This window comes from Homo sapiens, chromosome 1, assembly GCF_000001405.40.
Source record: "Homo sapiens chromosome 1, GRCh38.p14 Primary Assembly".
NCBI classification, from domain to species: Eukaryota; Metazoa; Chordata; class Mammalia; order Primates; family Hominidae; genus Homo; species Homo sapiens.
In genome coordinates, this window is record NC_000001.11 from 32131977 (window position 1) to 32153384 (window position 21408).

Consider the following 21408-nt stretch of genomic DNA (forward strand, 5'->3'; position numbering starts at 1 on the left):
TTTATTTTTTTTGAGACGGAGTCTTGCTCTGTTGCCCAGGCTGTAGTGCAGTGGCGTAATCTCGGCTCACTGCAACCTCCGCTTTCCAGGTAGAAGCAATTCTCCTGCCTCAGCCTCCCAAGTAGCTGGGATTACAGGTATGCACCACCATACCCGGCTAATATTTGTATTTTTAGTAGAGACAGAGTTTCACCATGTTGTCCAGGCTGGTCTTGAACTCCTGACCTCAGGTGATCTGCCCGCCTTGGCTCCCCAAAGTGCGGGGATTACAGGTATGAGTCACCATGCCCGGCCCAGTGGTGTCTTTTAAAGCATTAAAGTGTTTTGTTTTGTTTTGTTTGAGACAGTATCTCACTCTGTTGCCCAGGCTAGAGTGCTGTGGTGTGATCACAGCTCACTACAGCCTCAACCGCAAGGGCTCAGGCAATCCTCCCACCTCCCAGGTAGCTGGGACTATAGGCACATGCCCCCATGTCTGGCTTTTTGTATTTTTTATAGAAATGGGGTTTTGCCATGTTGCCCAGACTGGTCTCAAACTCCTGGGCTCAAGTGATCTGCCTGCCTCAACCTCCCAAAGTGGGAACACAGGCGTGAGCCACCATTTCCAGTCAGTGCAGCCATTTTATTTTAAAAATATGGGGTCCCAGCCCAGCGTGGTGGCTCAAGCCTGTAATCCCAGCACTTTGGGAGGCCGAGGCGGGCAGATCACAAGGTCAGGAGATCGAGACCATCCTGGCTAACACGGTGAAACCCCGTCTCTACTAAAAATACAAAAAATTAGCCGGGCGTGGTGGCAGGCACCTGTAGTCCCAGCTACTCCGGAGGCTGGGACAGGAGAATGGCGTGAACCTGGGAGGCGGAGCTTGCAGTGAGCCAAGATGGCGCCACTGCACTCCAGCCTGGGCGACAGAGCGAGACTCCGTCTCAAAGAAAAAATATATACATATGGGGTCCCACTCTGTTGCCCAGGCTGGTCTCAAACTCCTGGGCTCCGGTGATCCACCTGCCCCAGCCTCCAAAAGTGTTGGGATTACAGATGTGAGCCACGGTGCCTGGCCCCAGAGTATTTTTTTAAGTGGTTGCAGGGCTGGGTGCGGGGTCTCACACCTGTAATCCCAGCACTCTGGGAGGCTAAGGCAGGCAGATCACTTGAGCCCAGGAATTTGAGACTAGCCTGGAAAACATGTTGAAACCTCATCTCTACAAAAAATACGAAAATTAGCCGGGTGTGGTGGTACACACCTGTAGTCCCAGCTACTCAGGAGGCTGAGGTAAGAGGATTGCTTGAGTCTGGGAGGTTGAGGCGGCAGTGAGCCATGATTGCACCACTGCACTGCAGCCTCGGTGACAGAGCAAGACCTTGTCTTAAAAAAAAAAAATTGTGGAGGTTAGAAAGCAGTAGGATAACAAAGTGCTGAAAGAGGCCAGGTGCAGTGGTTCATACCTGTAATCCAGCACCTTGAGAGGCCAAGGCCAGAGGATCACTTGAGCCAAGGAATTCAAAACCAGCCTAGGCAACATCACAAGACCTAGTCTCTACAAAAAAAAAAAAAAAAAAAAAAAAATTACTTGGACATGATGGCATGGGCCTGTGGTCCCAGCTGTGTGGGAGGCTGAGGTAGGAAGATTGCCTCACAAGGTCTAGGCTGCAGGGAGTTGATTGCACTACTGCATTCCAGCCTGTATGACAGAGCAAAAACCTGTCTCAAAAACAAAACAAAACAAAAAAGCAAAGTGCTGAAAGAAAAACCGTCAAGCAAGAATTCTATATCTGGCCAGGCAGCATGGGCGTGGTGGCTCACCCCTGTAATCCCAGCACTTTGGAGGCCGAGGCAGGCGGATCACTTGAGGTCAGGAGTTCGAGACCAGCCTGGCAAACGTGGTGAAACCCCGTCTCTACTAAAAATACAAAAATTAGCCAGGTGCAGCAGCCGGCATCTGTAATCCCAGCTACTGCGGAGGCTGAAGGAAGAGAATTGCTTGAGGCCAGGCGTGGTGGCTCATGCCTGTAATCCCGGCACTTTGGGAGGCTGAAGTGGGTGGATCACCTGAGGTCAGTAGTTCGAGACCAGCCTGGCCAACATGGTGAAACCTCGTCTCTACTAAAAATACAAAATTTTTTTTTTTTTGTATTTAAAAAATGGGTGGTGGGCCCCTGTAGTCCCAGCTACTGGGGAGGCCGAGGCAGGAGAATTGCTTGAACCCAGGAGGCGGAGGTTGCAGTGAGCCGAGATTGCACCATTGCGCTCCAGCCTTGGTGACAGTACAACACTTCGTCTCAAAAAAAAAAAAAAAATTCTATATCTAACAAAACTGCCCTTCTAAAATGAGGGAGAAATTAAGATATTTCCAGATAAACAAAAGCTTAGGGGGGTTGTTACCACTAAACCTGCAGTGACTTAGCCTATGATCTTAGCACTTTAGGAGGCTGAGGCAGGAAGATCACTTGAGCCCAGGAGTTCAAGACCAGCCTGGGCAACATAACAAAACCCCGTCTCTACTCAAAATACAAAAATTAGCCAGATGTGGTGCACGCCTATAATCTCAGCTACCTGGGAGGCTGAGGCAGGAGAATCGCTAGAACCCGGGAGGCAAAGGCTGCAGTGAGCTGAGACCATGCCACTGCACTCAAACCTGGGCAACAGAGCAAGAGTCTGTCTCAAAAAAAAAAAAAAAAGTGCTATAAAAAGAATGTACTGATATATGTTAAAACATGGATGAACCTCAAAATCATTATGCTAAGTGAAAGAAGCCAGTCAAAGACCACATATTGTATGGTTCTATTTAAATGAAATGTCCAGAGCAGGCAAATCTGTAAGAAATAGAAAGTACCTTAGTGATTGTTTACAGCTTAGGTGGGTGAGCATTGGGGGTGACAGCTAAAGAGTAATAGGGTTTCTTTTTTTTAATTTTATTTATTTTTTTTTTACTTTTTTTTTTTTCCTTCGAGATGGAGTCTTGCTCTATTGCCCAGGCTGGAGTGCAGTGGCACAATCTCAGCTCACCACAACCTCTGCTTTCCAGGTTCGAGCAATTTTCCTGCCTCAGCCTCCTGAGTAGCTGGGACTACAGGCACGTGCTACCACTCCTGGCTTATTTATTTATTTACAGACAGAGTTTCACTCTTGTCACCCAGGCTGGAGTGCAGTGGCGCAATCTCAGCTCACCGCAACCTCCACCTCGCGGGTTCAAGTGATTCTCCTGCTTCAGCCTCCCAAGTAGCTGGGATTACAGGCATGCACCACCAGGCCTGGCTAATTTTGTATTTTTAGTAGAGGTGGGGTTTCTCCGTGTTGGTCAGCCTGGTCTTGAACTCCCGACCTCAGGTGATCTGTCCCCCTCAGCCTCCCAAAGTTCTGGGATTACATGTGTGAGCCACCGCGCCTGGCCAATTTATTTTTAGTAGAGACAGGGTTTTGGCATGTTGGCCAGGCTGGTCTCAAACTCCTGACCTCAAGTGATCTGCCTACTTCGGCCTCCCAAATTGCTAGAATTACAGGCGTGAGCCACCATGCTTGGCCATTTTTTTTTTTTTTTTTAGAGGCAGGGTCTAATTATGTTGCCCAGATTGGTCTTGAACTCCTGACCTCAAGTGATCCACCCACTTCAGCCTCCCAAATTGCTAGAATCACAGGTGTGAGCCACCATGCTTGGCCATTTTTTTTTTTTTTTTTAGAGGCAGGGTCTAATTATTTTGCCCAGACTAGTCTTGACCTCTTGGGCTCAAGTGATCTGACTGCCTCAGCCTCCCGAAGTGCTGGAATTACAGGCATTAGCTGCCATGCCTGGCCATAGAGTTATGGGGTTTTTTTTTTTTTAGGATGATGAAGATGTTCTAAAATTGTGCTAGTGGTTGCCCAGCTCTATAAATACACCAAAAATCATACTAAATATACTAAAAATGTATGAATTGTATGGTTTAGGAATTACATCTCAATAAACCTATTACCAAAGGAAATAAAAATAATAGGACTTCTTTGCCAACAGGACACTTAAAAGTCTGCACAAAGAGATAGGATCACTTAAAAATTCTAACATGCTCTTTAATTTGTATTAACAATTTAACCAGAGGCTCCAAACTAGTAGTCTGTAGGCCACACTTGGCTTGTAGTAGATGTGTCTTACAGGGACTAATATGTTTTTCAAAAATTAAACAAACATTAAACAGTTGGCTGTATATAAAATCCACATTTCTAGCTTCTCTCTTTTTTTTTTTTGAGATGGAGTTTCACTCTTGTTGCCCAGGCTGGAGTGCAAGGGCGTGATCTTGGCTCACTGAAACCTCCTGGGTTCAAGTGATTCTCCTGCCTCAGCCTCCCAAGTAGCTGGGATTATAAGTGCCTGCCACCACACATGGCTAATTTTTTTTGTATTTTTAGTAGAGACAGGGTTTTACCATGTTGACCAGGCTGGTCTCAAACTCCTGAACTGAGGTGATCTGTCCGCCTTGGACTCCCAAAGTGCTGGGATTACAGATGTGAGCCCTGCCTTTAGCTTCTCTTGAAAATCTGATCTAGCAAATCTAACAAATGGGACTCATGTAAGTTAGTCATATGTAGGTCTCATTCACAATGATGGAAACCTTAGTAATTAGAGCTGTGTGAAATGAAATGGGTTGCTTTTGTAATAATATATTATCACTGGTAGTACTCAGACATAGGTTATAGGTCAGGGAAATAGAACAATGATTCAGAGTATCAGAGGAGAGATCAGACTAATAATCTAAATCTATTCTGATTCAGCCTATGGATTCTGTTTGATAAAGTGGGAAGTTATATGGAATAAGCAGAATGAGATTCTCTACGCATTTATTCCTCCCCAATTCATTACATTTGGAGTGAAGATATGGTTAGAAGAGACATCATACACTATTACTGCCAGCGTTTCTGGTTTTCAAATCAAAGCCTAAAGGGCAGACCCTAAAGCCTTAGGTATTATTCGTTCTTGAAGCCAAGTTTCAGAAATACGTTGCTTTCCTTCTTGAATGAGTAGTAGAGGAGAAAACAAAAATAAAACAATTAAAAAAGAATTACTTTGCTTTCCAAATATACTTGAGTGTTCTCTTCAAGGACAATGAAAATTATGTAAGTGCTCATTTTACTTTATTTTGGATGACGGGTAGCTGACATGCCAAAATGCCACTCTGTTTTAATAATTAAGTGGTTCTTTGGGTTCTGTTTACTGCATTCATCTTCCCCCACTTTTTTTTGTTTGTTTTGAGAAAGGGTCTTGCTCTGTCACCCAAGCTGGAGCACTGTGATACCAGCACGGCTCACTGTAGTCTCAAGCTCCGTTCAAGCAATCCTCCGAGCTCAGCCTCCCGAGTTGCTGGGACCACAGGTGTGTGTCACCACACCTGGCTAATTTTTGAAATTTTTTTCAGAGACGGTTTTGCTAGGTTACCCAGGCTGGTCTCTAACTCCTGGGCTCAGGTGATCCTCCCACCTTGGCCTCTCAAAGTGCTAGGATTACAAGTGTGAACCACTGCACCTGGCTACTTCCCCCAATTTCTATATAAATTTGTATATTCCTAGTCCAGATTCTTGTTTTATTTATATTTCATTGAATTTATTGTAAACGACTTCAGATTCTCTAGAAAACTGAAGTTTAAAATGTTAGATGGAACATTTGAGGGCATGCTGTGTACTTTGCTATAGACGCAAAGATAAGTAAAAGAGTTCTTGTTCTCAAAGATTTAATAATCTAGAAGTGAGAGGTGATGAGGGTGTAAACTAAAATTTATTGGAGGTGGTCAGTAGGAGCCAATTTGGAGTAACAGATAAAAATCAGTTTCCTGAATTGGGGAGGAGAATGTTCATGGGTGACTCCAAGACCAGGTGAATGGTGATGGCATTAACTGCGAAATAGGGAAGATAGGCCAGGCACAGTGGCTCACGCCTGTAGTCCCAGCACATTTGGAGGCTGAGGCAGGCAGATCACTTGAGGTCAGGAGTTCGAGACCAGCCTGGCCAACATGGTGAAACCCCATCTCTACTAAAAATACAAAAATTAGCTGGGCATGGTGGTGGGCAACTGTAATCCCAGCTACTTGGGAGGCTGAGGTAAGAGAATCGCATCAACCCGGGAGGCAGAGGTTGCGATGAGCCAAGATCGTGCCACTGCACTCTAGCCTGGATGACAAGAGTGAAACTCTGTCCAAAAAAAAAAAAAAATAGGGAAGATAGCAGAAACTGGTTTAAAGAGAAAGTTGGGTGAAGATAGCTGGTAGGCAAGATGTTTTGACAATAGGGATTTCAAACTTGGTTTAAAAGTAGAGGTGGAAGCTGGCCAGGCGCGGTGGCTCATGACTGTCAACCCAGCACTTTGGGAGGCCAAGGCGGGTGGATCATCTGAGATCAGGAGTCGAGACCAGCCTGACCAACATGGAGAAACCCCATCTCTACTAAAAATACAAAATTAGCCGGGCGTGGTGGCACATGCCTGTAATCCCAGCTACTTGGGAGGCTGAGGCAGGAGAATCACTTGAACCTGGGAGACGGAGGTTGCGGTGAGCCGAGATCGCGCCATTGCACTCCAGCCTGGGCAACAAGAGCGAAACTCCATCTCAAAAAAAAAAAAAAAAAAAAAAATGGAGGTGGAAGCTAAGGGAGATCGTGAGCTTGGAGTGGGGGCTCCTCCTGCTGAGAAGAGGACCAAAGGTAGGATTTTGGTACACACTGACATTGAGAGGTTGGCTCTGGAAGATGACCACAGTAAGAAACTTGAAGAGTGGTTGGAAGGCTAAGAGAAAAATTGGGAGAGGATGGTGTTACTAGAATCATGAATAGAGTTTCAGGAAGGCAAAGGTGATCATCAGTGACAAATTAGAAAGCTGAATGCAATGACTACTGAGTGGGTCACTGGATTTAACAGTCTAAACTGGCTTTTTCTGAGGTATTTGTGTCTTGTGTCCTGTAGTTTTTATAATGGATGGTTTTAGTTTAATTTTCACATGAATTCTGGAGGAAATCGTGGTTTCTGGGTTTTTAGTAAGAAATTCTTCTGTAGTCTGCTTTTGGAGGGTCTGCTTCACTCCAGTCACAAGGAAGGTTTCTTTGCTATATACTCCTTTACTTACCTATCTGGCAAACACTTATTAAATAGCTGTTGTGGCTAGGCCTTGTGTCTGGAACAACGTATATGCTCGATGAGTATATAATAAATATTTGAATGGTGATTCACTCGACAAATATTTGTTGTAGATGCCGGGGATACAACAACTCTGCCTTTGTGGAACTTAACATCCTATGGAGAGCAGATGGATTGGAATTAGTATAATGAAAGAAAGAAAACAGGTGTTCTGACAAAAATAGGGTAACTTACTTTGGGTTAGGGTAATGGGGAAGGACCCAGCAATTCCAAGAGCTAAGGAAAAGCGTTGAAGGCAAAAAGAACAGGAAGTGCAAAGGCTATGTAGTAGGAAACAGTATGAAGCACACAGCATCACCTATATATATTCTTGGCCAACAATTACTATATATATATGTTTTTTTCTCCATCTATAACCCAGCAACACCAAAAGTTATTTTCAACCTGAATCTATTCTAGCCCCTAGACTTAACTTCCATTTTACAGGAAATACAAGGGGTAAGGGTATGAGTTTAATAACACAAAACTAGAATGTGAGGCGTTCTATAAGAAAACTGACCTAGTCTCTTCAGAAAGTATCACAAGCAAATAAAAGGGTTGGGGGAGAGGAGGATGGACATTATAGATTAAAAGTGATCAGATGTTGGATAATGATATTGTAGTTTTTAAAATGGCTTTGTTGTTTGCAGATACATACTGAAATGTGGATGAAGTGATAGGTCAGGAATTTGCTTCAAGGATCTGGGAGAGGCAGAAGCATAGATATGAATGGCTGCTAGTTGATCATTGAATCTGGATGGTTAGTGTATGAGATTCATTTTATTTACTGTTTTGTCTACTTTTGTGTATATTTGAAATTTTCCATGATAAAATGTTAAAATAACAAATACAATGTGTGAACCTTGGCTGGATTTGGGGAGAAAAACCCAGATATAAAGGATATGTTGAAATAATTAAGAAATTTGAATATGAACTAGATATTGGGTATTTTGTTAATTTCTTTGGTTTGAAAATGCTGTTGTGGTTATATAAGAAGAAGGTCCTGGGCCTGGCTCACGCCTGTAATCCCAGCACTTTGGGAGGCCGAGGCAGGCGGATCACAAGGTCAGGAGTTCGAGACAAGCCTGGCCAACATGGTGAAACCCCATCTCTACTAAAAAATACAAAAATTAGCTGGGCATGGTGGTGTGAACCTGTAATCCCAGCTATTTGGGAGGCTGAGGCAGAAGAATTGCTTGAACCCAGGAGGCAGAGGTTGCAGTGAGCTGAGATGGTGCCACTGCACTCCAGCCTGGGCAACAGAGCGAGACTCTGTCTCAGGAGAAAAAAAAAAGAAGAAGGTCCTTATTATGGGATACATACTAAAGTAATTGGGCGAAGTGCCAAGTGATGACATTTACAATTTTCAAATGTACAGTTAAAAATATAGCTATATTATATATACATCTGATAGAATAAAACTAATATGATGTTAAAAATCATTGAATCTTAGTGGATAATTTATAGATATTGTACTATATCAAACTTTTAGTGTTTAAGCAGTTTATAATGGAAACAGAAAAAATAGTTCGGCTATTCTTGAGAACTGAGAAATGGGGCAGTAGCTAAGGGAAAATGAATGAAAAAATGCACTCACAAGTGTCTGGTTCTCAGTACAAGGAATCACAGGTGAGATTCCTAGAACTGTTCCTACAGTGTGTTTTTAGCTGGCAGAGTTACAACAATACCCAAATTTTGTCATCAACTTTATATTAATTTACAGTAAATAACTAATAGGTAGACCAGTAAGAAGACAGCAAAATTTAAGCCATCTTTGATGTTTTCTTATGGCATCTTTGGTAAGAAACTGGGCCAGGTAAGATTTGGAAGAACATCTGTGAAATCTTTGGATTTATTATTGTGTCTATCACTTGTGTATTGTGGGTTATCTTCTCACCCATCACATCCCAGCATCATGGCTGGCTTTACTTGCTTTGGGGGAATTAATCCTGATGTTGTAGGTGTTAGTCCATACATGTACTTCAGGTTTGTGGTTGGTTGGATCTGTGGTCTAGGGTGAGAATTCATTGTATTAATAAAAGGAAAACTTGTACTGTGAAGGTGAGTTCCTATGAAAATCTGGTATGGTGGTGGAGGGGAGGCTCAACAGTCAATTGGCCTGAGTTTAAAATGTTTATGAATCTCAAAATGTTAAACATACCAGTGATTAAATGGAGCACTATGGCAATCTTGCTACTCACTAATGTGTGACCTGAGTGAGCCTCAGTTTTTTCATTTATCCATTAGGGCTTTTTTTTTTTAAGTTAATCCTTTTTTTTTTTTTTTTTTTTTTTTTTTTTTTTTTTTTTTTGAGACGGAGTCTCACACTGTCACCCAGGCTGGAGTGCAGTGGCGCGATCTTGGCTTACTGCAACCTCCGCCTCCCATGTTCAAGCAATTCTTCTGTCTCAGCCTCCCAAGTGGCTGGGATTACAGGCACCCACCATCATGCCTGGCTAATTTTTATATTTTTGTAGAGACAGGATTTCACCATGTTAGCCAGGCTGGTCTTGAACTCCTGAACTCAGATGATCCACCCGCCTCAGCCTCCCAAAGTGTTGGGGTTACAGACATGAGCCACCGTGCCTGGCCTATTAAGTGAATCTTAACCTTTCTTATTACAGGCGTGTCCTTGTGTCTCATGAAAGCAGTTTACTTCGATTGTCGCCTTTGCCGAGGTCTAAAGACAAGGCTTAATTAACTTGAATTTGATATCAGACACTGGCAGGAGTCGGTGCCTTATTTAGATTAGGTAATTAGGGCCTATATTAGTTTGCGAGGGCCACCATAACAAAGAACCACAGACTGGGTGGTTTAAACAACAGAAATGTATTTTCTCACAGTTCTGGAGGCTAGAAGTCTGAGATCAAGTTGTCAGAAGAGGTCAGGTGCAGTGGCTCATGCCTGTAATCCCAGCACTTTGGGAAGCCAAGGCGGGCGGATCACGGAGTTTGAGACCAGCCTCAACATGGTGAGACCGTCTCTACTAAAAATGCAAAAAATTAGCCAGGCGTGCTGGCCCGCACCTGTAATCCCAGCTACTCAGGAGGCTGAGGCAGGAGGATCGCTTGAACCCCGGAGACAGAGGTTGCAGGGAGCTGAGATTGTGTCCCTGCATTCCTGCCTGGGTGACAGAGCGAGACCCTGTCTCAAAAAAAAAAAAAAAAAAAAAAAAAAGTTGTCAGAAGGGTTGTTTTATTCTCAGCCGTTTGTTGTTGGCTTCTATATAGCTGTCTTCATGTTCACATGCTGTTCTCCCTCTCTTGTTTTAAGGACACCAGTTACTGGATTAGGGCCTACCCCAATAACCTTATTTACCTTAATTACCTCTTTAAGGACTCTATCTTCAAATATAGACGCGTTTTGAGGTATTGGGGTTTAGGACTTCATAATATGAATTAGGAACAGACATGATTCAGCCATTTTAAGGCCCCTACCTATTTTGTATTATCATTGCTAGCTCTTTGGTTTTAAAAGCTTAGAAAGTGCATGGCAACATTAGACATTCCCTAGAAATGAAAGGTGTGACTTCAGAGACCTATTCACTTTGAGAGAGTTCCTTGACTAAGAAAACCCAAAGACAGTCTAGGACAGCCAGATGCTAGAAAAGTTTATTTGTATTGTGAATTTTAAAAAATTCATCCACAGCAAGTAAGGGAGTACATAATGGAAAAAGCCGCTGGCGTGCTGGATCCCTGAGATTCCAGATGTGCTTGTGCAGATGTTCCTCCTTCCAATCTAACCTCCCTTGTCTGCTTCCCCAGTGAAGTCATAAGCAAATATTTGTGATAGTTTCTTGTCACCATGGTGACTAAAGAAGCTCAGCATGGCTCTCCTCCCAGCTTCACTGTCAGCTGTGCTTGAAGGAGAGGCTAGCGTCCAGGACAGCCCAGGCTCAGTCATGAAAAGCTATGTGTCAGGTAATAGGGGACAGCAGTTCATAGTGCTGCCTTCAGAAATCTGTTGTCTACTCTGTTAGTCTCACAGGGATAATCGGGCCTCAAAAGGAGTGCAGAGGTGCAGACACAGCTCACTTGCAGCCTCAACCTCCTGGGCTCAAGCAATCCTCCTGCCTCAGCCTCCCAAGTAGCTGGGACCACAGGTGCATGCCACCATGCCCAGCTAATTTTGGTATTTTTTTGTAGAGATTGTGGTTTCACCATATTGCTCAGGCTGCTCTTGAACTCCTGGGCTCAAGCAGTCTGCCCACTTTGGCCTCCCAAAGTGCTGGCAGTACAGGCCTGAGCCCAGGCTACAATGCCGATTAAAAAAAAAAATTATTCCAGCCTGGGCAACATGGAGAAACTCCATCTCTACTAAAAATACAAAAATTAGCCGGGCATGGTGGTGGGTGCCTGTAATCCCCACTACTTGAGGAGAATCACTTGAATCTGGGAGGTGGAGGTTGCAGTGAGCCAAGATCGCACTGCTGCACTCCAGCCCGGGTGACAGAGCAAGATTCTGTCTTAAAAAAAAAAAAAAGAAAAGAAAAAAAAATTATTAGTGATAAAATATATGTAACAAAATTTTCAATTTAAGTGTACAATACAGTGGCATTAATTACAGTTACAATGTTATGTGACCATCATCATCACTATTTCCAAATATTTTACTACCCCTAACAGAAATTCTGTACCCACTAAGCGATAACTCCCTATTTTCCTCTCCTCTTAGCACCTGGTAACCTCTAATCTACTTTCTGAGTTTGACTCTAGGTACCTCATGTAAGTGGAATATTTTGTGTCTTGCTTATTTCACTTAGCACATTAATTTCAAGGTTCAATCATGTTGTAGCATGTGTTAGACCTTCATTCCTTTTTTGGCTGAATGATATTCCATGGTATCCATATGCAGTAGTCCTTGCCTTATCCACAGGCAATATATTCCAACACCCCCAGTGGACACCTGCAACGACAGATGGTACCAAACCCTATATACTATATTATTTCCTATACATACGTACCTATGATGAAGTTTAATTTGTAAATTAGGCACAATAAGAGATTGAGAACAATAATAATAAAATAGAACACATAACAATATGCCAGCATCATCACTTTTGCACTTTGGGGCCATTATTAGGTAAAATAAGGATGACTTGACCACAAACACTGCAATATCTGCTACTAACTGGCAGTGTATACAGTGTGGATATACTGGACAAAGGGATGATTCATGTCCCAGGTGGAATAGATGGTTAGCGCGATATTTCATCATGTTACTTGGAATAGTATGAAATTTAAAACTTATGAATTGTTTTTATCTGGAAATTTCCATTTAATATTTTCAGACCACTGTTGTCCATGGGTAACTGACACTCTGCAAAGCAAAACTGAATAAGGGAGAAATCGTATAAAAGTAGAATTGCTGGATTATATAGTAATTCTTTTTAATTTTTTTAGGAACTACTATTCTGTTTTCCACAGTGGCTGCACCATTTTCCATTCTTATCAGCAATCCACCAGGTTCCAGATCTTAGCCAGCGTGTGCTTTTATTATTCTTACTCCATCCTAGTAGGTGTGGAGTAGTATGTCACTGTGGTTTTTAAAACTTTTTTTTTTTTGAGATGGAGTCTCGCTCTGTCGCCCAGGGTGGAATGCAGTGGCACAATCTCGCCTCACTGTAACCTCCACCTTCCAGGTACAAGCAGTTCTCCTGCGTCAGCCTCCCGAGTAGCTGGGATTGCAAGGATGTGCCACCATGCCCAGCTAATTTTGTATTTTTAGTAGAGATGGGATTTCTCCATGTTGGCCAGGCTGGAGGGTCCCACCCTTAGATAATCTCCCCACCTCAGCCTCCCAAAGTGTTGGAATTACAGGCGTAAGCCACCGCGCCTGGCCTAAAACTTTTTTTTTTTTTTTTCTTGAGATGGAATCTCACACTGTCGCCCAGGCTGAAGTGCAGTGGCGCGATCTCGGCTCACTGCAAACTCCGCCTCCCAGGTTCATGCCATTCTTCTGCCTCAGCCTCCCATGTAGCTGGGACTACAGGGGCCCGCCACCACACCCAGCTAATTTTTTTGTTGTTGTATTTTTAGTAGAGGCGGGGTTTCACTGGGTTAGCCAGGATAGTCTCAATCTCCTGACCTCGTGATCCACCCACCTCGGCCTCCCAAAGTGCTGGGATTACAGATGTGAGCCACCACGCCTGGCCAAAACTTTTTTATATACGTTTTTCAGTCAGCTTTCTCAGGTTGAATCATTGTGGTTTTGATTTGTATTTCTTTTTTTTTTTTTTGGAGATGGAGCAAGCTCTGTTCCCCAAGCTGGAGTGCAGCAGCACGATCTCAGCTCACTGCAACCTCTGCCTCTTAGGTTCAAGTGATTCTCCCACCTCAGCCTCCTGAGTAGCTGTGATTACAGGCACCCGCCACCATGCCTGGCTAATTTTTGTATTTTTAGTAGAGACGGGGTTTCATCATGTTGGCCAGGCTGGCCTCAGACTCCTGACCTCAAGTGATCTGCCCACCTCGGCCTCCCAAAGTGTTGAGATTACAGATGTGAGCCACCCCGCCTGGTCTGGCTAATATTTCATTTTATATAATGTATAAAATATTCTCTATACAATGAAATATTTATTTCTCCACTGAATGGACATAATATCCTTCTTCAAAATCAGTTGGCTGGCCGTAGATGTAAGGGTTTATTTCTGGACTCTCAATTCTATTCTGTATGTCCATATGCTTATCCTTATGCCAGTACCACACTGTTTTAATTACTGTACCTTTGTAGTAAGTTATGAAATCAGGACATATGAGTCTTCCGACATTTTAAAGAATGTCTTCCTTAATTTCTGTATATTTGTGAATTTTCTAGTTATCATTCTGTTACTGATTTCTAGCTTCATTCCATGTAGTCAGAGATAATGTTTTATATGACTTCAGTCTTCCAAAATTTATTGAGACACTTTTAGTGGGCTAACATATGGCCTATCCTGGAGAATCTATACTTGAGAAGAATGTATATTCTGCTGTTATTGGGTGGAATGCCTTGTATATCTCTCTTAGGTCTACTTTATAATTTTGTTCAAGTCCTCTGTTACTTATCGATCTTCTGTCTAGGTGTTCTGTTCATTATTGAACGTGGTTCATTAAAAGTCTCCAAATATCTGTAGGCCACAGTTGGTGGGGACAAAAAAGTCTCCAAATATTTTTTCTGCACTTCTGTCAGAACTTGCTTCATGTTTGGGGGCTCTTGTTTATTGCATATGTTTTTTAATAGCTTGATGAATTGGCCATATGATGTCCTTTCTTTTTGGTAACAGTTTCTGACTTAAAGTTTGTTTTGTCAGATATTCATGTAGCTATTCCAGCTCTCTTTATTCCCTTCTCATTTCCTTTTGTGTATATTTTTAATTTTTATTTTCTGTGCATGTAGTTTTTTGGATATTTCCTAGTGAACACCATGGGAATTACACTTAATATTCTAACTTTATAACACTCTAGTTGGAATCAATACCAGCTTAATTCAGAAGCATACAAAACTGCTCATGTACAGCATTGTTTCCTCCTTTATGCTGTTGTCATCACACATTTTATGTTTAAACATTGTGTGACCAATAATGTAGATTTATAATTATTTTATGCATTTGTCTTTTAAATCATGTAGGAAATGAAAAGTTACAAACCGATGTATAGTAATACTGGCTTTTATATCTGCCCATATAGTTACCTTTATCAGAGATCTTTATTTCTTCATATGGCATCAAGTTACTGTGTCCTTTCATTTCAACCTGAAGGGCTCCCATTAGTTTTTTGTTTTTTGTGTTTTTTTTTGACAGAGTCTTGCTTTGTTGCCCAGGCTGGAGTCCAGTGGTACAGTCACGGCTCACTGCAGCCTGAACCTCCCAGGTTCTAGCAATCCACCTCAGCCTCCCAAGTAGCTGGGACTGCAGGTGCATACCACCACGTCCGGCTAATTTTTATATATTTTTTTGCAGAGATGGGGTTTCACCACATTGCCTAGACTGGTCTCGAACTCGGCTCATGTGATCCTCCTGCCTCAGCCTCCCAAGTGCTGAGATTACAGGCCCAGCCAGCATTTCTTGCAGAGCAGGTCTAGTGGTAACAAAGCCCCTCAGCTTTTGCTTATAGGGAAATGTCATAATTCTCCCTCATTTTTGAAGGACAGTTTTGTCAGATATAGAATTCTTGCTTGACGGTTTTTCTTTCAGCACTTTGCTTTTTGTTTTGTTTTGTTTTGTTTTTGAGACAGGGTTTCACTGTGTCACACAGGCTGGAGTGACGGTGCAATCACAAGTCACTGCAGCATCAACCTCCTGTGCTCAGGCAATCCTCCTGACTTAGAGGTGTCCCAGGTAGCTGGGACCATAGGTGCACGCCACCATGCCCAACTAAATTAAACAAAATTATTTGTAGAGACAGGGTCTTGCTCTGTTTCCCAGGCTGGTCTTGAACTCCTGGGCTCAAGTAATCGTCTGGCCTTGTCCTCCCAAAGTGCTGGGATTACAGGCATGAACCACTGAACCCAGCCTCTTTTCGGCACTTTCTTATTCTACTGCCTTCTGACTTTCGTGATTTCTTTTCTTTTTTTTTTTTTTTTTTTTTTTTTTTGAGACAGGGTCTTGCCCTGTTGCCCAGGCTGGAGTCTAGTGGTACAACCACGGCTCACTGCAGCTTCAACCTCCTGGGCTCTGGTGATCCTTCCACCTCGTCCTCCCAAGTAGCTGGGATTACAGACATACACCACCATGCCCAGCTAATTTTTGTACTTTTTGTAGAGACGGGGTTTTGCCATGTTGCCCAGGCTGTTCTTGAACTCTTGGTCTCCAACGCAAGCCATTCGCCTGCCTTGGCCTCCCAGAGTGCTAGGATTACAGGCCTGAGCCACTGCTCCCAGCCTGACTTTCATAATTTCGAATGAGAAATCACCTGTTGATCTTATTGGGCATCTTTGTATGTGATAAGTCACTTCTTTCTTGCTGCTTTCAGGATTCTGTCTTTGGCTTTCATCAGTTTGATTATGTGTCTCAATGTGGATATTTTCTTTTTCTTTTTTGAGACAGAATCTCACTCTATCACCCAGGCTGGAGTACAGTGGCATGATCTCGGCTCAATGCAGTCTCTGCCTCCCAGGTTCAAGTGATTCTCCTGTCTTAGCCCCCCCACTTGCTGGGATTACAAGTGCGTTCCACCATGCCTGGCTAATTGGTTTTTTAGTAGGTGCCACCATGCCTGGCTAATTTTTGTTTTTTTTTAGTATAGACACAGGGTTTCACCCTGTTGGCCAGGCTGATCTCGAACTCCTGACCTCAGTTGATCCACCTGCCTCAGTATCCCAAATGTGTATATCTTCATTAGAGTTCATTGAGCTCCTTCATGTGTAGATTCATGTGTTTTATTTAATTTGGGAAGTTTTTGACCATATTTTTTCAAATATTCTACCTCTTTATCTTCTGCTCTTAGGACTCCCATAATGTGGTGTATATTGGTCTTTTTTTTTTTTCTTTTTTTTTTTTTGAGAAGGAGTCTCGCTTTGTCACCCAGGCTGGAGTGCGATCTCGGCTCACTGCAACCTCCACCTCCCGGGTTCAAGCAATTCTCCTGCCTCACCTCCTGAGTAGCTGGGATTACAGGCGCACGCCACCACGCCTGGGTATGTTTTTTGTATTTTTAGTAGAGATGGGGTTTCACCATATTGGCCAGGCTGGTCTCAAACATCTGACCTTGTGATCCACCCGCCTCAGCCTCCCAAAGTGCTGGGATTATAGGCATGAGCCACTGCGCCCGGCCCCCCTACTTTTTTTTCAATAGAGATGAGATCTTGCCTATGTTGCCTAGGCTGGTCTCAAACTGTGGGCTCAAGCTGTCCTCCTGCCTCAGCCTCCAAAATTGCTGGGATTACAATCATGAGCCACCGTGCCGGCCATATTGGTCCTTTTAATGGTATTCCATGGGTCCACTCGATTCTGTTCATTTTTCTTCATTCTTTATTCTTTCTGCTCCTCAGATTGGATAATTTTAATTGATCTGTCTCCAAGTTTGCTACTTTTTTTTCTATCTGCTTGTATCTGCTGTTGAACCCCTCTAGTGAATTTTTTATTTCAATAAGTGTACTTTTGAGCTCTAGAACATTTGTTTGGTTCCTTTTTATAATTTCTTTCTTTTTATTGATATTCTCATTTTATTCATGTATTGTGTTTCAGATTTCCTTTAGTTCATTGTCCAGGTTTTTCTTTATCTCTTTGAGCATATTTAGGACAGTTGTTTTAGAATCTGTCTAGTAAGTCCAGTCTCTGGGCTTCCTGAGGGATGGTTTCCTATTTTTATAAAATTATTTAAAATAGAAACAGGGTCTCCCTATGTTGCCCAGGATGGTCTCTAACTCCTGGCCTCAGGCAGTCCTATCATCTTGGCCTCCCGAAGTATTGGGATTATAGGCTTGAGCTACCACACGCAGCTAGGAATGGTTTCTACTTTATTCCGCGAATGGGCCATGCTTCCCTGTTTTTGTGTGTGTGTCCATGTGCCTTATTTTTTAAAGACAATTTTTAAATGGCAAAAAAGTTATTTTATGTTTATCTGCCATATCTAGTGTTTTTCATTTTGTGGATATCCGAGTTTCCATCTGGTATCATTTTCCTTCTACTTGAAGACTTTTAGCATTTCTTTAGTGCAGGTCAGCTAGAGAAAAAGTCTCTCAGCTTTTATCTGAAAAAGTCTTTATTAATATTATTTTTAATTTAGCCCATGACCTGCTGAATTGCTTTCATTTCAAAAAGTATCTTTGTTGGATATAAAATTCTAGTTTACCAGCTTTTTGTTTTTTCCAGAACATTAAAAATGTTTTGTTGTTTTCTGACTTACGGTTTCTGACAAGAAGCTAGGCCATTCTTATCTTTGGTCTTAATAGGTCTTTATCTGGCTGCTTTTAAGATTTTATCTATCGCTGCTTTTCAAGATTTTGGTTGTGATGTGTCTTGTGATTTTCTTTGTTTTTATCTTGCTTAAGGATTAGCATAGCTTTTAGGGTTAATGGGATTAGATCTGGAAAATTTTTAGTCTTTTTTTTTTTTTTTTTTTTTTTGAGACAGGGTCTTACTCTATTGCCCAGGCTGTAGTGCAGTAGCATGATCTTGGCTCACTGCAACCTCCGCCTCCCGGGTTCAAGTGATTCTCCTTCCTCAGCCTCCCGAGTAGCTGGGATTACAGGCACCAGCTACCACGCCTGGCTAATTTTTATATTTTTAGTAGAGACAGGCTTTCACCATATTGGCCAGGCTGGTCTGGAACTCCTGGCCTCAAGTGATCCATCTGCCTCGGCCTCCCAACGTGTTGGGATTACAGGCTTGAGCCACCATGCCCTGCCAATTTTTAGTCTTTGCTTGTAAATGTTTTTCTGTCTGCCTCTCAATTTTTTTCCCCTGTGAATCCAGTTACTAATATATGAGAGCACTTGAAACCATCCTACTATCTACTGAAGTGTCATTTCTGGATCTAACTTTTGACTGATTTTTCTCCTATGGGTCACAATTTTTCTGCTGCTTAGCATGTATAGTACTTTTTGTTGTTTGTTCATTTGGAGACAGAGTCTCCCTCTGTCACCAGGCTGGAGTGCAGTAGCATGATCTCTGCTCACTGCAACTTCCACCTCCCTGGTTCAAGTGATTCTCCTGCCTCAGCCTCCCGAGTAGCTGGGACTACAGGTGCGTGCCACCAAGCTCAGCTAATTTTTGTATTTTTAGTAGAAACGAGGTTTCACCATGTTGGCCAGGATGGTCTCAATCTCTTGACCTCGTGGTCCGCCCACCTCGGCCTCCCAAAGTGCTGGGATTACAGCCGTGAGCCACCACGCCCCGGCTGTTTTTGTTTTTTAGAGACAGGGTCTCACTCTGTTGCCCAGGCTGGAGTACAGCGGTGCAGTCATAGCTCACTGCAGCCTTGAAGAACTCCTAGGTTCTTCAAGCTATCCTCCCACCTCAGCCTTCCAAAGTGCTGAGATTTATAGGCATGAGCCACCATGCCTGGCTCTGGCCCATAATTTTTAATTGGATTCCAAGCATTGTGAATTTTGTTTTTAGTGTCTGGATTTTGTTGTCTTTTTTTTAAAGGATGTAGGGCGTTTTATAGGTGTTCTGTTTTAGCAGTGTAAGGCTCGTTTTTAAGCTTCATGAGTAGCCTTTTCTGGGAATAGTTTAATCCCACTACTAAGCCATAGCCCTTCTTAGGGTCTCTACTATGCCCTAAGTGATCAGGGAGAAATCCCCATTCAGATTTGTCTAAAGTCTCTCAGCCCTGTGCGAGCTCTGGGAACTGCTGAGCTTACATACAGCTTCTCAGTTGCCCTTTGTGTGACTCATGGAGCTTCACCCAGCATGTATGCATCCTTAGTCTTCAGCAAAGATTTAGGGAACCCCAAACAGATTTCCCAATTTTTTTTTTCTGCCTATTTCTCTCCTCGCTGGAATGCTGTCTCAGTGTTTTCAGCCACCTCAGTCTCACTGAAGTCTCTAGTCTCTCCTCCACTGGTGAGATTTCCGTGGTGCTGTTTGGGACCCCTCTTCTGCTATAGAATGTGCCTCTGGGCAGAAAGCCAAGGAGACAAGTAGAGCTCACTTAATTCGTTTCCCTCTTGGAGAATCACAATTCTGCATTGCTGTTGCCCGATGTCTGAAACAGTTTATAGCAACAGGGGAAATCCTATCCCTCTTATTCCATCATGGCTGGAAGTGGAAGTGATAACTATATTAATATCCAACAAAAGAAAAAGGGCAACAAAGGGCATTGTTAAGGAATAATTTGGCTCACTTTATAACAAACTTCTATTCACAGTCAAGATACAACAGTTCTAAATTTGTATGCTTCTAATGAAATAGTATTAAAATACATAAAGCAAAATTAAACTACGGGGTAAAATGGCTACATTCACTATCAATAAGGAAAACATTAGTGAAGTGAAACATTAATAGAAGATTTGAACAACATGATGGGCATGGTGGCTCATGCCTATAATCCCAGCACTTTGGGAGGCTGAGGCAGGGGGATTGTTGAGGACAGGAGTTCAAGACCAGCCTAGACGATATAGTGAGACCCCCATCTCTACAAAAAAAACGTAAAGATTAGCCACTCATGGTAGTACGAGCCTGTAGTCCCAGCTACTCAGGCTAAGGCAAGAGAATTGTTTTAGCCCTGGAAGTTGAGGCTGTGGTGAGCTGTGATCGTGCACTGCACTCCAGCCTAGGCAATAGAGGGAGGCCCTATCTCAAAAAATAATGAATAAATAAAGAACAACATGATGACAACTTAATTTAATGGACATGATATTCAGAAAGCCATGCACAATAATTTAAGAATACAGATTCTTCTCAAGCACACATGGGACACTTATGTAAATTGAATAAATCAAAAGTAATTAGATATTTAGGACTGAATTACAATACAAATATTAATTTGAAGGAAATTTATAAGCCTTAGAAAGGTAATATAGAAGTATAGTGTGGGGCCAGGCACGGTGGCTCACACCTGTAATCCCAGCACTTTGGGAGGCCGAGGCAGGTGGATCACGAGGTCAAGAGATCAAGACCATCCTGGCTAACATGGTGAAACCCCATCTCTACTAAAAATAGAAAAAATTAGCCAGACGTGGTGGCGGGCGCCTGTAGTCCCAGCTACTCGGGAGGCTGAGGCAGGAAAATGGCGTGAACCCAGGAGGCGGAGCTTGCAGTGAGCCGAGATGGCGCCATTGCACTCCAGCCTGGGCAACAGAGGGAGACTCTGTCTAAAAAAAATAAAAATAAAAATAAAAAAAATTAGCCCTGCGTGCACACCTGCAATCCCAGCTGCTTGGGAGGCTGAGGCAGGAGAATCACATGAACCCAGGAGGCGGAGGGTTGCAGTGAGCCAAGATCGCGCCACTGCACTCCAGCCTGGGTGACAGAGTGAGACTCCATCTCAAAAAAAAAAAAAAAAAAAAAAGTATAGTGTGAACATTTAATTACTTAGATATACAACTTAAATTAGAAAAAATGTAGAAAGGGGATAGAAATCATATAGTAGAGAAGACTCAATGAAGCTAAAACTTGGATCTTGCAAAAGACTAAAATAAAAATAGTCAAGTCTCTGGTAAAGGTTCTCAGGAACAAAAGAGGGCACAAATAAGACAATATTAAGGATGAAGAAAGTACACAGTCACAGATAACTGATTTAAAAGAACGTGAACAGGCCAGGCGCAGTGGCTCATGCCTGTAATCCCAGCACTTTGGGAGGCCGAGGCAGGCAGTTCACCTGAGGTCAGGAGTTCGAGATCAGCCTGGCCAACATG

At 42.9% G+C, this 21408-nt stretch overlaps 1 protein-coding gene across 5 annotated transcripts in view; it reads left to right on the top strand.

The window, feature by feature from the left end:
• Positions 1-21408, top strand: part of KPNA6 (karyopherin subunit alpha 6) — a 68508-nt gene that overhangs the window by 23921 nt on the left and 23179 nt on the right. The window contains exons 1-2 of one of the 5 annotated variants that reach the window (XM_047416671.1): positions 6645-7295; positions 7779-7888. The exons of 2 other annotated variants lie outside the window; for them this stretch is intronic. Coding sequence is in view for 1 of the 3 variants with exons in the window: in XM_005270711.4 (XP_005270768.1) it covers positions 10955-11048 (94 nt within the window). In the remaining 2 variants the exon portion in view is untranslated. Of the gene's footprint in view, positions 1-6644; positions 7296-7778; positions 7889-10332; positions 11049-21408 lie in introns of those variants that run through there. 2 more of the 5 variants (XM_024446165.2, XM_005270711.4) reach the window with 2 other exon arrangements.